This window comes from Homo sapiens, chromosome 20 (genome assembly GCF_000001405.40).
Source record: "Homo sapiens chromosome 20, GRCh38.p14 Primary Assembly".
Taxonomy (NCBI): Eukaryota; Metazoa; Chordata; class Mammalia; order Primates; family Hominidae; genus Homo; species Homo sapiens.
The window spans coordinates 9644055-9660540 of NC_000020.11; the positions used below are offsets into that span (position 1 = coordinate 9644055).

The 16486-nt window shown below is 40.1% G+C and overlaps 1 protein-coding gene across 7 annotated transcripts in view; it reads right to left on the minus strand.

The window, feature by feature from the left end:
- The window catches only part of PAK5 (p21 (RAC1) activated kinase 5), a 301707-nt gene that overhangs the window by 106685 nt on the left and 178536 nt on the right, over positions 1-16486 (minus strand). For all 7 annotated transcript variants that reach the window (NM_177990.4, NM_020341.5, XM_017027960.2 and 4 more), the window contains one exon: positions 71-285. In NM_177990.4, the coding sequence (NP_817127.1) occupies positions 71-274 (204 nt within the window). In that variant the 5' untranslated portion in view covers positions 275-285. The remainder of the gene's footprint in view (positions 1-70; positions 286-16486) is intronic.

Sequence of the window (16486 nt, forward strand, 5' to 3'; positions counted from 1 at the left end):
AAAGCTGATGCAGTGCATTAAATAAGAGCATGATTCTTAAGCCCAGCCAAAGATGGAGCCCTCACCATACCTTCATAGGAGCCAGCTGGATGGGTGTGATGCATGAAGGGTCCACCATAGGCTTTGGCCTGTTGGCCGTATCTGCTAACAGGCTGTGCCACTGCTGGGGAAGGCCGGTAAACTTCTGCTCTTGTGGATCAAACCCAGTATGAACCCTGTGTTCAAAGTTGGACGGGCCAGATATTTCAATCTTTTTCTTTTTCTTCCCAAACATGATGCCAAAACCTGGGAAATATAAATGGAAAAGAGGCAGCCATTTATATCTTGCCAGCAGAAGACCAGGAGAAAGCTATTGTTAATTCACTCAGGGCAACATCTTTTCAGTTATTCCTCTAGATCCCAGCTGCAAAAGATAAAAGTTGAGTTTTCAGGGTGTGTAAATTAGATAATTTTATTCAATTTTTTTTTGTTCCCTCCTTAAACTTGCCATGTGGATGATAGTTCCCTGCCCCATTGACTTTGATTTGGCCATGTGACCTGCTTTGACTATGGATGGAAGAGACAGTTGGCAAGTTCAGGGCAGAAGTTTTTGAAGGCATTGTATGTTTCCACTTTTTCCTTGTGCTCCTGTCACTTGTCACAAAGATCTCTCTCTCAGGGAGATGACACTTCCTCAGCCTAGGTCTTGGAAGGAGAGATGCATGAGGGCAGACACAAGCCCAACCTCCAGTCTGAAGCCAAGACCAGGCAAGCTCAACTGAGATATTATTGAGCCACGGCTGACTCGCAAATGAGAAATAAATGTATGTAATGAAGCCACTGAGATTTTGGCCTTGTTTGTTATATAGCATTATTAAAGCTGACCAGTACACAGGGAGAAACATTTCAAAGTTTGGTATGTAGTTAAAATCCAAAACATTTGTGGGGAATAAAATATATGCATACATGAAAAATGGGTTGATAATGATAGTCACCACATAAAGGATCAAACAAGTAAATATTTACAAAGCACTTGGAAAAACATCTGTCACAAAGTAATTACTTCAAGTATTAATTATACACCTCTGGACAAATATACAAGAAAGTTGACTGATATTACCTGCAGAGAAGGGTACCAGGGGAAGAAGGCAGGGAGGAAGACTCACTTTTCACTGTATATTATATTTACAATTTTTTACAGTGTACTTTACCTGTTTGAAACAACATAGTTTACCTAGGTGAAACATAGCCAGTGACCAGAATACCTCTAGAAAATATGTAAAATAGGCAAAGTATGCTTTATGATGTTGAAAACACATAAGGTAACCTGGGTTTGCATCCCAGCTAGGTCACCTATTCACTGTGATCCCAGATAATTGCTTTTTTCCTCTCTGCATCTACTCATCTGTGAATAGAACAATCATCATTTTGGGAATCCTTACAACACTGCATGGGCATTGTGAAAGATGATGTTTTGGCCTACATGTTGATTTGTTGAGGAAGACTTATCTCAGCCCTTGGACTGGAATAGGTAGGTCATATATTCCTACACTTCTTTTTTTTTTTTTTGAGACAGAGTATCGCTCTGTTGCCCAGGCTGGAGCGCAGTGGTGCAATCTCAGCTCACTGCAAGCTCTGCCTCCCGGGTTCACACCATTCTCCTGCCTCAGCCTCCCGAGTAGCTGGGACTACAGGTGCCCTCCACCATGCCCAAGCTAATTTTTCTGTATTTTTAGTAGAGATGGGGTTTCACCGTGTTAGCCAGGATGGTCTCCATCTCCTGACCTCGTGATCCGCCCGCCTCGGCCTCCCAAAGTGCTGGGATTACAGGCATGAGCCACTGCGCCCAGCCTATCTTCCTACACTTCTATGTATATATTCTTCACAGCATTTATCCACTTGCGATTAATTAATTACATATAATGGTGTGCTCAGTGTCTGTTTTAACTACTAGAATGTAAGATCCATGAGGGAAAGGATGCTTCCTGCTTTTTCATTACTGTTTGCCTGGCCTATAGTAGGGCTCACAAAATATTTGTTGATGGACTAAAATCACCCTGAACAGCACATTTATTCAGTAAATAGCATGTGCGGTTGGAGCTCCATGTTCTCTCACTCTCCCTTCTTTACTTCCCTTCATCCTCTGTTAAAACTGTTACTTCTTTTAAACACTTGTCCCTGTGTGGTAAGCAGGGTCTTCCCATGCCTTCCAGTTTTCTCAAGTTCCTTTTCCATCCTCTACCTACATAAATATTCTCTCAGCAATGCTCAGACCATTCACAGCCTTCACTCCCTGGACTCCGTCAAAACCCATCGCATTCATTCTGGTTGTTACTTCAGACTAATTTGGAAGGGCTGTAATGAAAACGGATGAAAGAGTATAAGGACTTCAACTACCTTGATATATTACCTTTCCTGGAAAATATAGTTATAACTTAAAACAATTCTGTAAGTACTTTACTACAAGTAGGTCAATAAATACAAGTCAGCTGACCTTAAACGCTTGGGCACACCCAAACCAAAGTGTCAAGAAGTAAAGGAACCCTGCTGTCATAGACTGCTGCAGAGATGGCCCACAATGTTTCATTCTTCCTGGTATCCATGCCTTCAAGGAGGACTCTCCCACACTGACTCTGGACTTGGATATATAATTTGCTATGGCCAGTGAGACAAGAGAAAATATGACACCAATACGCACTGTGCCTGCACACTGTGGCTTGTCTGCCCTCTTGCTGTCCTTAGAAACAGCAGTCAGCATGAAAACAAAGCCAGCCTATCCTGCTGGAAGATGAGGGGCTGTGTATCCCAGTTACCTGTCTCCCCAGCCAGCAACTAGTCGACCCTGAGAAGCAGAGCTGCCCAGCTGACCAGCAGCTATCCACATGAGTGAGCCTAGTCAAAACCAGCAGAACTACACAGTTGAACTGAACTTAAAATTATCACTTACAGAATCAGGACACAAATAAATGTTTTTTTGCTTTAAACCATGCTACACAGAAAGAGCTAACATAACAAAAACCCTGATTATCATCCTCTACCTTGCATCTTCAGATGCTTGCCATTTTTAGGTTTCTATTTTAGCTGCTTCAAAGTTTCAAGTAACAACATCCAATCTGGGTAACTATATTAGCTGTTACACAATTGAGTGCTAACTCAAAGGAGTTTTGATTGTGATATTACTATCTGGTTGAAGGCCTGGAATGTTTTCAGTGGCAGGAAATTACACCAATAATTAGCTCTATACACCATCTCTCTAAATTATTTAGTGAGCATAAAATACATTTGAAAATATAATTTGGCCATTTGTTGGCTGAGTCCGCTTGACAGTTCAAGAAATTTTAGCTATGACCATTTTTTAAAAATGCAAGATGGAAATTATTTCAGAAACATCATTTGAGAAGAGTTATTTGGCCTGTATTCATACCTGAACAAGCACTGAAAATGCTAGGCCAAATATTTTTAGAGGCAGAATAGAAATGTCTTATTATTCCCTCTCTCATTGTGAATTTCCCAGTGGTTGCTATGCCACTCAATGAGAGCATTGAAAAGAAGATATCAATGAACTAATACTGTTTCTGTTTTTAAATAAGAGAGTTGCGGAGAGGAAATCCACAGCTGAATTAATCTACCTACACTGCATTGTGTGATACAGCACAACTATAATTTTAATGGTCAAACATGCAGTTCTACCTCTCCAGTAAGTTTGAGTTAAAGAGTTACAGAGGAACAACTTAAAAGGAAAACACAAAACAGCTCTAAATCCTGAAGCAATATTCCTGGGAAGTTCACAGGTGCAGAGACAAAATCTCCAAGATTTATTGTGACATTCTATCAGCAGTGGCTACTACTCTGTTAGCAAGGAGGAGGCCCACACTCAGCTGAAAGACAGAGACAGGGTCCTAGTGCCTTTTAGCACCATGGGACAGATGGACGCCTAGTAGGGAAGTGAAGATCTTCTTGGCAGAATATTTCTTCTCTCTGATGTGCTCATGCTCAGTCTCTACCTACTAGGGCACTAAAAGTTCAATGCGTCTCATCCCACATTCATGGTAGCCCTCTGTCAGGGGTCCCAAAGACCACCCCCAGGCTTGATGATTCATGAGGAGAACTCATAGGACTCTGCATACAGTCATACTCGTGGCTGTGATTTATTACCATGAGAGGATACAAAACAAAATTAGCAGTGGGAAAAGGTGCATGGGGCCAAGTCCAGAGAATACAGGTGCAGGCTTTCAGAGGTCTTCTCCTAGTGAACTCACACGGGTTGTGGTTAATTCCCCCAGGACTGATTGTAACAACACATGTAAAAAGCCATCTACTGGGGAAGCCCATCAGAGATGAAGGGCCTGAGGATTTTATTTTGTACTGGTCACATAGGCACCCCTTGCTTAGTCCATATTTAAATTCCAGGAGGAAAACAGGGGTTGAACATAAACCTCTTTTTTTTTTTTTGCATAAACAGTTTAGGCACAGCAAGCCATTCTTTATCAGGGAATGGTGAGGAACTTGCTAAAATCCAAGTTCCCAGATGCCAGCCAAGGGCCAACCTTGCAAATAGGCTTTTTTTCTAGGATATGCATCCTGAAGCCTACTAGACTAACTCTTTTCTGCAGAGGAGGTGTTATTATCATCGCCCTTTCATAGAAGAGGAAACAGATGCTCAGAGTCCAGGTTAGAAACTTGTAAAACTGGAGATTTAGAATCTCAAAACACAAGCTTTTAATCACTTGTGAGAGCAATGTATGGCTGCCCTGTATTTACCTTCTCTGCCAGTTACACCATCCTACCTTTCTTAGGGAACCCAGTTGGTGTGGATGGTGAGGTTTCTTGGGTCCTGTCATGTCTCTCCATAAAGGCCCTCTCTGAGAAATTACAAACTGTGTCACTGAGCAGGTGAAGCTGAGCAGCCTCTCCTACAGAAGAAAAGATCCCTACTGCTCAGCACCCATGTAAACCAAGGGCACAGCATACCTCCTTCCACTCCTCAGTGTCCAGCAGACCTAATTCATGACAGCTGTGTAGGTATGTTTCAGTACAGAAAGTTACATAGGTTTAGAAGTAGGCAATTCAAGAATTAATTTGAAATATTTCTTCATTTCTTTGTTTCATTATTAAACACTTTATTATTTGTTTCAGTATGTGAACATTCACCTGGCAGTTTGATTCAGCATTAACCAAGTTGGCTCCTTAGCTAAATAAGTTTGGGAAAAAATGAATTACATAAGGTCCCTTTGTGGGACATTTCAAGGTCTTTATTATGCTAATATTAGTTTAGTTCCTAGAGAAGGATAGTAAACAGATCCCAGAATCCTTGTTTCTGAAAGTTTACTGCAAAACTCACAGCAAACACTGCTTTGATGGATGGTTTCAGTCACCCTATGTTCTTCTATGAAATATAAGTCTTAGAAGTCATAGAAGAGACTGAAGGAAATCCAGATCCCCAGACTCTAATACCCCATTTCTGCTCTGACATCTTCATGGTTATCTCAGCCCTCAACCTGTTCTCAGGGACAGCCCAGCTTTGTCCCTAACTTAGTGGGTTGCCCTGCCTTAAGCATATGCCTAGTCTAAAAGCTCCAACATGCAGGCATCTCCCAATTCAGGTCTCTACGAACAGGCATAGGGAGTAGGGAGTCAAAGAAGAAATAACAGGCAAATGCAGCAGCACCTGGTACTATTCGAGTCATGCTGGTTGGGGTGATGGCGCAGCACCTCATTAGGGACCAGAAGATGCTACTTAAATAATATTCATCTAGGATGAACTGTGTGTCAGACACTGCTCTATATGTACCAATTCACATATTCTGTTCACAGTAATTCATATTGTAAGGACTATTATTATTTCTGCTACACAGATAAGGAAACTGAGGCCTACAGGAGTTAAAAAAAAATGTGCCCAAGTTCATTCAAGTAGGAAGAAACTGAAATGGAATTCAAAACCCGGCAGTCCACATTTTGAGTACAAACTGGTCCATGCTCTGCTGACTTGAATACTAGTCCAGCCCCCATGGTGCAGCATGCTGTGTAGCCCTGGCAGCCTCTCTCAGATGGAGAGTCCTCCATTCTACATGGAGTTAACTCCAGATATGCATAGCTCCTGTAATTGTTTGGATAACTCAATGAGAAGGTATTAGAAGAAAGCCCTACAAGGGACTGGATGATCTGAATGTTGCTTCCATGATAGACAAGGGAGTGGTTAATACTGCTCATAATATCTGCTTGCAAGGGAGACTTTGCTGGTTCTTCTGAATTGATACACTACAACTCTCTCCCCAGACCCAGATTCAGTCTCTTCTCTTCTCTGTGCCTTTAAGTTGATTTATATGACTGTGTCACTAGAACTTCCTTGTCTTTGGTTTCTAGGGGGATTTGACCAATTACAGGCAATTTGTAGGTGGAGAAAGAGGTTGGGTATTTATTACCCTGGTTTTCTTTGCAAAATTCCCTTGTTTTCTTGCTAAACTTATTTCTCTGGTTTTCTTGCCAAAATTCCCCAATATTTACAAGCTTCTGTTGCCATTCCCTTTTCCCTCCAGTTTTCCCTCCAGTTTTCAGTCCCTGTGGGGCTAGATGTGACATCTTCCTGCAGTTTTTAGTTTGTGGGTATTCCTACATTTTTTATTGGTTCTCAGAACCTTGCTTATATGTGCTAGGTAAACCCTTCTGGAGTGCACCTTCTGCTTCCCGCCAGGACTCTAACTGGCATGTAGCATACTTGTGGGGCTTATGGTCCCCACTTCCCAGGACTCACCAGCAATGCCTAGGGACTAGGGAATATCCACAAGAAGCCACCACCCATTAAAAGGGGCCAAAGTCTTCATTAGCCATATGGAGACCCCCGTTTCTTGCATGTATTCCTTTATAACTATTTTAAAAATATTTTTGTTGCCTTATTTTTCTCTTGGGCATAAAGCTTGAGGTGTTCAAAAAAGCAAGATGGGCATTCTGTGAAATTACTTTCTTTACAAAATTATCTAAAGGGTAACGGCAAAAGAATTTTATCAAACAATCTTATTGCCTCCTCAGGCAGCCCATTTTCTCATTAATTTAGGGTTCTGGTTGAAAGCAGGGACCCGGACTTCCTGGATCTGAATCTGAGTCCTGCTACATTTATCAGTTCTGCATTCTTGGGCAACTGGCTTTGCCTCCTTTTGCCTCAGTATCCTATGATAAATGGGAATAATAATATTCTCCCCCTCAGTGGGTTGTTGTGAACATTCAGTGAACTAAGACATGAAAAGTGGCTTAGATCTGTGTCTGGCTCCTAGCAAGTGCAATCCAAATTAGGATTTTAGGGAATGGAGTAGGAACTCTACTATAAGCCAGGTCCAATCAGTGGCTGAAGTGCCATCTCTCATCACATCAGGTGGACACGCAGAGGTAGAGGAGCAGCTACTTGACCCCTATTACAAATTGAGAAGGTTCCAGCATTCTTCAACCTTTTCAAAACAATGACTCATGGCTCAGTCCTGTGTCCCACCCATGGCAACATTTTAAGGTTAATGACATGGATGGTGGTGATGGTCACACGAAAGTGTGAATGTATTTAATGCTACTGAACAGTACAATAAAAATTGGTTAAAATGGTAAATTTTTTGTTGTGTATATTTCATAATAATAATAGTAATAAAAGATAATGACATGGATATGCCCCAGGGGCTTTGATTGCCTGGGAGGAAGTAGTTGGCAGGCAGAAGCCATACTGAAGACGGGGTGGGGCACGCACAGGATGGGGTGGGGCAGGCAGAGCAGGAGGTCACTTATTAGAAAATCCTTTTGTCCATATCCCCCCTCAAAATCTCAAATTGTAATATAACATTTGGGATTAAGAAAGAAATATGTCAAACTGTGTTGGTCTAATAAAGTGAAGAGTTAATATAATTACTGAACTATTAAGGTTTCCAGTCATTCAGCCAGCTAGAGACATGGTAGAAAGAATAAGACCACAGAATTTTAAAATGGTGACTTTAACGTACCTCTTAAGAGTGAGTCTTTTCTTATTGACTCCCTCACGAAGAGAGATTTTTCTTTTCTTAGCCTCAGATCTATTTTTCAGAACTTGGTAAATGTAATAATGGAAATTTAAGTACTTTAGAAATACCTACCTGTGTTCATATAATTTAGGTTTAATGACTGGTCCTTCACTTACGGGAGAAAGGTGACTGTTTCAGAAATCACATTACAGAGGGGATGGCACCAACCACACCATCCCCTTTCTGAGATGTCATTGCTCAGATATACATTTATTATAGCCTCAGAATCAAGAACAAAAGATTCTCCAGTCTTTTAGCTATGCTGATTTTAGGGAAAATGAAACATAGATTACATATTTGGGATCCATAGGAAAATCTAAAAATCTTGGGATGGGTTCATCATATAATCTAAAAATAAAGTTGTTTTCTAAAAAAAAATCATTATGTGTCAAAGTTGTTATAAATGACATAGTTTCCTTTCCTTGGATTCATCTACTACAGTGTCTCCTAATAGGACCCATTGGACAGTCACTATGTTCCACTGGGTGCTTCCCACTCCAGGAGAAACTGTATCAAAGCCTGTTGGGTGAATACAATGATTATCCTTGTACCTGGTCCCCATTTCTATTGCACAGATGCTCATTATCCAGTTGCTTTGTGACCTGGGCCTGTTTTTTTGACCTGGATCATAATTCAAACACACTTGCCTTCTCAACAGGTGTAGAAACAGCTGTAACCCCTTTTCTTCTTTTGTGGATCTGATTCTGGCTTCTAATTTCTACCACTGGGATGTAAACCCCGACTTCATACCTGAATCTTTGTTTCTTATTTGTCCTTCTCTACTTCTGTGAATGTCTTAGACCCTTCCCTCTGATCATGATGTTTGGATCTTACCTGTCTGCTGGTTTCTTCTTATCTAAGCTTTCTGATTCTGCCCTGATTCTGAAATCTGTGCCCACAGTTGGATTTAGCATATACATCCATCTGAACTGCACACTTTTTAGACCCTCAACATCATCAGACCTTTCTGCTCTAACTCCTCGCTTCAACTCCTCACCCTGGCTTCAACTCATCCCTCTCAACTTTCTGCAATATCCAATATCCAGTATTGACAAAAGGCACACTTTAAGGAAAACATATTTAAATTTATTCATTTCCACATTGGCAGAATGACAACATAATATTGAGATAATAGCAAAGAGAAAATCATGGGTTTTAGAGTAACATCAATGTAGTAAGTACTCAGAAAAACTGCATGGAAAGTGTGTTAAATATAACAATCAAAAGCCACTACTTCACCATGGTTTCATTCTTTACTATAAGTTTACTTCTCCTTTATGCCAATGAGCCCAAATATGGAGACAGAGCCCAAACCTCTCTCTTAATCTCTGTGTCTATGCTTCCAAAGCTCCTCTTGGATTATTCTCATTTTTGACACTCAGCATCTCCAAAACTTAACTCATGATCTCCTACTTGCTCTGTTTCTTTCCTACATATCTCAATCCTTATATAGATAGCATCCCATTGCATTAAATTGTGGAAGCCAGTTCTGAGAGTTCACTTTGCCTTTCTCTTCTGCATCATCCTGCACATTCAATCATCATCAATTCCTATCCATTCTGCTCCCCAGATGTCTACTACATCTATACCTCTCTCTGAATTCCCACTGTATTAGTTTCCTAAAGTTGCTGTAACAAATTTCCACAAACTTAGCAGCTTAGATAATGCAATGTATTTTCTTACGGTTCTGGAGGTTGGAAGTATAACATGAGTCTCACCTGGTAAAAATCAAGGCATTGGCAGGGGTATGTCCCTTTCTGGAGTCTCTAGAGCAGAATACATTTCCTTGTCTCTTCCAGCTTCTAGAAGTCACTTGTATTCCTTGGCTGATACTGCATCTCTCTCTGACTGTTATTCCATCTTTCCCACTTTCTTTTTATTTTTCTTTTCTTCTCTTTTTTTTTTTTTTGACAGGGTCACGTGCTGCCCCCCAGGCTGGAGTGCTGTAGTGTGATCTTGGTGATCTTCATGATCTTGGCTCACTGCAACCTCTGCCTCCTGGGTTCAAGCGATTCTCTGGCCTCAGCCACCTGAGTGGCTGGGATTACAGGCATGCACCACGATGCCCAGCTAATTTTTATATTTTTAGTAGAGATGGGGTTTTCCATGTTGGCCAGGCTGTTCTCAAACTCCTGACCTCAGGTGATCTGCCTGCCTCAGCCTCCCAAAGTGCTGGGATTATAGGCGTGAGCCACCGTGCCCGGCCCATCTTTCCCATTTTCCTCTGACTCTCTTATTTTGTCTTTCTCTTCTACTTTTAAGGATGCTTGTATTATATTGGACCAGCCTGGATAATCTCCCTATTTTAAAGTTATCTTATTAGCAACCTTAATTCCCCTTACAGATTTCAGGGATGAGGATGATGACGTCTTGCTGGAGATGTCTACCACACCCATTGTCACTGCTCTCTCCATGTCAGCATCATTTCTCTCTCAGGCTACTATAAAATTATCTAGCTCAGTTTCCCTTCAACTAAACTTGCCCCTCCCAAGCAGTTTTCCACCCTGTAGGCAGACAAATCTTTTGAAAAATATAAGTCTGTATCATTCTCTTTCTCTCTTAGACCTTTTCTATGACTTCTCACCGACCTTAAAAACAAAACCAAACTCCTTATCAGAGCTTACAAGGCTCCTGGGGACCACCCCTTGGTACCTCTCTAACTGTATAAATTCCTTCTCCCTTTCATTAAGCCTTACCATCCTTAGTCACTCCCATTACCTTAAAGCCCCTCATCCCCTCTAACTTCTCCCTCCCCTGCCTGTCTCCACCCTCTCATCTTGACCCTCACCCAAAGTCTCTTTTCTGGTCTCAGATCAAATGGAACTTCCTTAGGGAGGCCACTTTAGACCCCAGAATACTTTTTTTCTTACTTGTTCCCACAGTTCCTTGTCTATTGGGCTACAGAAATTATTTCAAATTACAGACATGCATGAACACATTCTGTCTACCCTGTCCACGCCACCATCATTTCTCTCTTGGGCTATTACAAAGTTATCTAGCTCAGTTTCCCTTCCACTAGACTTACTCATCCAAGCAGTTCACCACCCTGTAGGCAGACCAATGTTTCTAAAATGTATGTCTGTATTATGCTCTCTCTCCTAAACTTTTTCTATGACTTCTCATTGTCATTACACACAAATCCAAACCCCTTATCCCAGCTCACAGTTGTGGATGGTTCTAACAAAAAGAAGCATACAAAACAAAAGCTAAAAGGGAACTACTTTGTTCCTATCACAAAGTTTCAAATCCAGACCATTTTCTATTTGTTTGTGTTATCCCTGCACACATCCTGATTTTTTATACATAAACATAAGACCACTCTAAGTACATTGTGTGGGACTTGCTTTTTTTTTTGAGTCATTTAGCCTATTTGGGGTGTTATGTTAAAAAAAAATAAAAAAGCAAACCTTGGCTATCTTTCCATATCAGCACACATATCACTTGCTTCTAAAGTCTCCATAGCATTTTATAAAATGGAATGTACTATAATTCATCTATTGATTCTTTTATTGATTAACATTTACGTTCTGGGGCTCTTAAAAACATCATTCCTGTGAGAACTCTGCTAGATGTATCTATCATTCTGCATAAATACGAGCACATCTGTGGCATAGATTGTCAGATGTGGAAATAATGGAGGGAAGGCATATGTATTAGTTTGCTAGGGCTGCCAAAACAAAGTAACACAGATTGGGTGGCTTAAGCAAGATAAATTTTATTCTCACTTCTGGAGGCTGGAAGTCCAAGATCAAGGTGTTGGGAGGGTTGGTTTCTTCCGAGACTTCTCTCCCTGGCTTGTAGATGACTTCTTCCCCCTACATATGACTGTGTCCAAGTTTCCTTTTCTTATAAGGACAAGGGCCATATTAGATCAGGGGCCAAACTAATGACCTCATTTTAATTTAATCATCTCTTTAAAGTCCCTACCTCCCAAATTCAGTCACATTTGGAGGCATTGGAGGTTAGGATTTCAATATATGAACTTGGGAGGTGGACAGAATTCATCCCATAAGAGCAAGCATGTTTAAAACTTTTTTAAATGCTAGCAAGTTGGCTTTCAGAAAGCCTAGATACTTTCCTTTCCTATCAACATTGTTGGAAATCAAAGTTGGTCTTCCTTAGCAAGCCGTAAGCCCCTTAATTTCATTTTGATCTTATCTGTGCCTGGCACATAGTAGATGAGCAGTAATATTTGTTGAATGAATAGTCACTGAGACAAAATATTTCCCTTGATAGAGACAATTCATGGTTCAAGCAGAGTGGCTTCTAACAAGCAGACAGCACACAGGGTGAGATCAGCAGCATGTGACAGGAATGCATCCCAAATGCTTCTAAGGAACCCAGATAAACACACAGCTTTTCAGGGGCAGAGTGGAAGAGAGAGGACCCAGTCCTCTTTGATTTTTTCCTTGTATGTTTTTATCACTCCTACAAAAATATTAAGTAACTACTTCTGTATACCAAGTACTATAGGCAAGGTAGTGGTGTTTGAGACTTTATAGAGTAGAAGGGAGAAGAAAAACCAAGCACAGTGAAGTCTAGAGTCAGTCTTCTGGGTTCAAACCTTTGTTCTTCTACTTAATGGGGCAAATTACTTAATCTCTTTATGCCTCAGCTTTTCAATAAAGTGCAGCTAATTAATATCTATGTCAAATGTTGTGAACATTTAATGAGTTAATACTTGTTAAGCACATAAAATACTGCCTGGCATGGAATGAGCATTCCATAATTGTTAGCTATTATTATTATTGTAAAGGAAAGAAATAAAATGTTAAGAGAGATGAAGAGTCCACAAATCTCTCCATACTATCTTCACAACTTTCTGTGAATTTGTAATAATGTTTTTAAAAGTACACACATAAATGTACACTTTACTTGAATTGTACCCCCCATTTGTACATCTTACATAGTTAGGGTACCATATCAAGACCAGGACTTTGGCTTTGGTACAATGTATGTATATATGTCTATGCCATTTTATCACATGTAGTGATTCCTGTAACCACCAGCACAATCAGTGTATAGAACTGTTCTATCCCCACAAAGATGTGCTATACTTTTAAAGTTACATGTTCCCTCACTACCCCCACAATTGCTAAGCCCTGGCAACCTGTAATCTGTTTTCTATCTCCACAAATATATAATATTGAGACTGTTATATAAATGAAATCATAGATTATATGACCATCTGGGATGGTCCTGTTTCCCTCTCAGCACGAGGCCCTAGCACTCCATCCACGTTGTTCCATGTATCAATAGTTCATTCTTTTTTATTGGTGAGTAGTATTTCATGGTATGCATGTACCATACTTTGTTTAACCACTCACTCATTGAGGGATAGTTTGGTTGTTTCTAGTTTTTGGCTATTACACATAAAGCTGGTATGAATAATACTGTACAGGTTATTTTTTTGATCGCTTGTATTACTAATATTTTTATATTGGTTATATATTAAAGTGGTAAACATTTTAGATAAAACAAAACAGATTAATTAAAATTAGTTTTACCTCTTTTGTGTTTCAAAATATGACTACTGGAGTATTTAAAATTAAAGATGTACCTTACATTATATTTCTACTGGACAGCATTATGAAAGTGTAACTTGTAGGAGAGCAGCTGCAGGCCTACTCGTGATACAGATATTGGGTTGGGAATGCTTTGAGTTCAGCCTTTATGGATAAAAAGGGGCAGGTCTTGCGAACTTGAAACAGAGCATTCCAGGCAAAAGGAACCAAGGATAAAGGCCTCAAGAGAGAAAATGATTTGCCTTGTTCAAGAAACAAAAGCAGCTCCTGTGGCTGAAGCAATACTTATTTAAGAGGAGAATGAAGTGGTCCACCATCTGTAAACATCGTCTAGATAGTCCCAGATTCTCCAGATTTTTTTATATTTTACATCAATGACACTAATATCCAAATACACCCATCTACTTTCTGAAGGTAATGACTAGGAAAACTAGATAAAGTATTTTCACAGTAAGTCTTTTAGCGAAGTAGGGTTTCCCCAAACAGATACTGGCCCATATTTTAATCCTGGAAATATCACTGTTATTTGTTTGTTTAAAACTTACTGGGAATTATGAGTAGATTAGTTGATCAGTTAGCTTTGGCTGCATATCACACCATCCCAACATTTAGTGACTTAAAATGACAACCATTTATTTGGCCCCAAATACTGTGGGCTGATAATTTGTGCTGGGTCCAGTTGAGTGGTTCTTATGGTCTTGCCTGTGTTTATTCATATATTCTGTGGTCAGCTATGGGTTGTCTGGAAACTGACTGGTCTAGGATGGCCACATGGACTCTCATCTTTCAGCAGGGTAGCATGGGCTTGTTCTTGTGGTGGTATCAGGGTTCTGAGAGCACAGAAGAAATACCTCCTAAGACCTAGGCTAGGAAAAGGCACATAAGATTGGTTCCACTAGCTTCTATAAACAATGAAAGCTATAAGACCAACGCAGATTCAATGGGTGGGGAAATTAGTCTGCTTTTCAAAGGGAGGAGCTTCAATGTCACATTGCCAATGATTGGCTACTGTGAGACATAGAGAATTAGGATTATGTTTGCAAACGACCACAATAAGTAACAGTGGCATGCTTCTAAGTGGTTAAAAACTGGCTATGGAAAAAGGGTAAACAAACCCTGATTGTAATGTCTGTCAACTTTTATGGTGCAAATACTGTCACATAGCTAATTTCAAGCTACCAATGTGACATTGCAGAACATTTTTTTAATTAAAAAATATTTTTAAAGATGAGCACAATTGGCTCTCACAAGCTCATGTGAGCCAGCTCCAGATACACTAAGAATAAACCCTAATTCTGGTAGTTGGCAGAGGAATGCTGTAATTTCTGGAATTCACCACTCAAGATATCACACTGAGATCTTCTGCCCTCTCTTAAAAAGGCAATTGCAAGGAGCTACATGTCCCACCAACAGGTAAAAAGCCCCCCATATAATTGGGTATAAAGACTTTAGAAGTCTTTGCAACAGTAACTATGAGATACGTGGTAGGTGTTGTTCTCATCTAATTATCAAACTTCTCAGGTGATTGAAAATTGTATTGTGGGTGTGTGTGCATGTGTACACACAGCTGGCAATCAAAATGAGATCTTCCATAAATCATAACTGGAAACACTGTCAAGTTTAACAACATCAGAGCCTGCTTTCTTTCCTTCAATCTTCAAGAATATAAAAACTGATGCATAGGAATTTCACATCAAGCCAGAGAACCTTATGTAACCTTAATTTTGCTTTATTTAGATTGGTCAGATGGGTCACACAAACACTTGCATAATTCTGCTCTTTTCCATCTGAGGGTCATATGCTAGCACCACCTCCTGGTGAGACTATGGGCTTCATATGGGCAACTGCAATGGTGTTCGACTTATTTCCAAAAATAAGTTACTGCTACCACTTGTCTGAAAACCTCAGAGCTGTACGTTTTCTTAAAGTTATGGTAGAAATAAGTTGTCAAGCTGTCCACTTTTAATGTCATTGATTATATGAATTTTAAACGATAGAGTATTGGGTATAAGAAACTTTCCTGTTGAAGAAGACTGGGCCAAATAAGAAGGGAATTTGCTGTTACGAGTAAAGAATGGAATCTTCTGAGTAGTTAAATACTACAAAGTTGTAGTACAATTTTAGATAAAAAATCATAGTTCTTTAGGGTTTTGTTTGTTTCTTTCTTTTAAACCACTAGAATCTGTCATTGGATATTGCCTTGTCCCCAAACAATCTAACATTCTGAGCAAATAGAAATGGTAGTCCTGTTGACATGTCAGCTTCAAACTGAACTTTCCATGTATAGAAACCCCTGCTATGGTGTATAAGTCTCACCTTCTGACTCTTCTCTTCATATTTGCTTCTCTATAACAGCAAGTATGCCAAAGGGAAAGGGCAAGAATGGGCTTGGTTTGTGCAGCCTAAGTCAGATGAACTGAGAGTCACAATAAGAGAAGCAAAAACAATAATAACTAGCCTCTGACTGTCACTCCCTTCCAAATCTGAAGATGCCCACTTCTATTGTAAAATCTTTTCAGATTCTCACTTACAGCCTGCCACCTGAGGCTCTCAAACCCCAGAAGAACCTGAGGATAATCCTGGCATGAGGGGGATAAAGGCAACCAGGGCACTAAAGGCTTTCAGAATTATACGGCAAAACAGAGGCACTGCACGTGGATTACGCAGTAAACTGGCTGTGGGCAAGTGACAAGTGATTTGCATTCCAAGCAAAAATCTGTGGTAGATTAAGATTATTTTAATTTTCTCTCCTTTCTCTCTTCCCTTAGGGCTCTCTCCATCTTTTCTTTGACAAGTATTTTTTGTGCACCTGCTGAAGCCGGGCACTGTCCATGGTACTGAAGACGCAATAGGGAGGCAGACAAAGATCCTTACCACCCTTATGGGGCTCTCATGATAGGAGAGAAAACAATAAACAAGTAAATAGGAAAATTACGTAGTATATTAGAA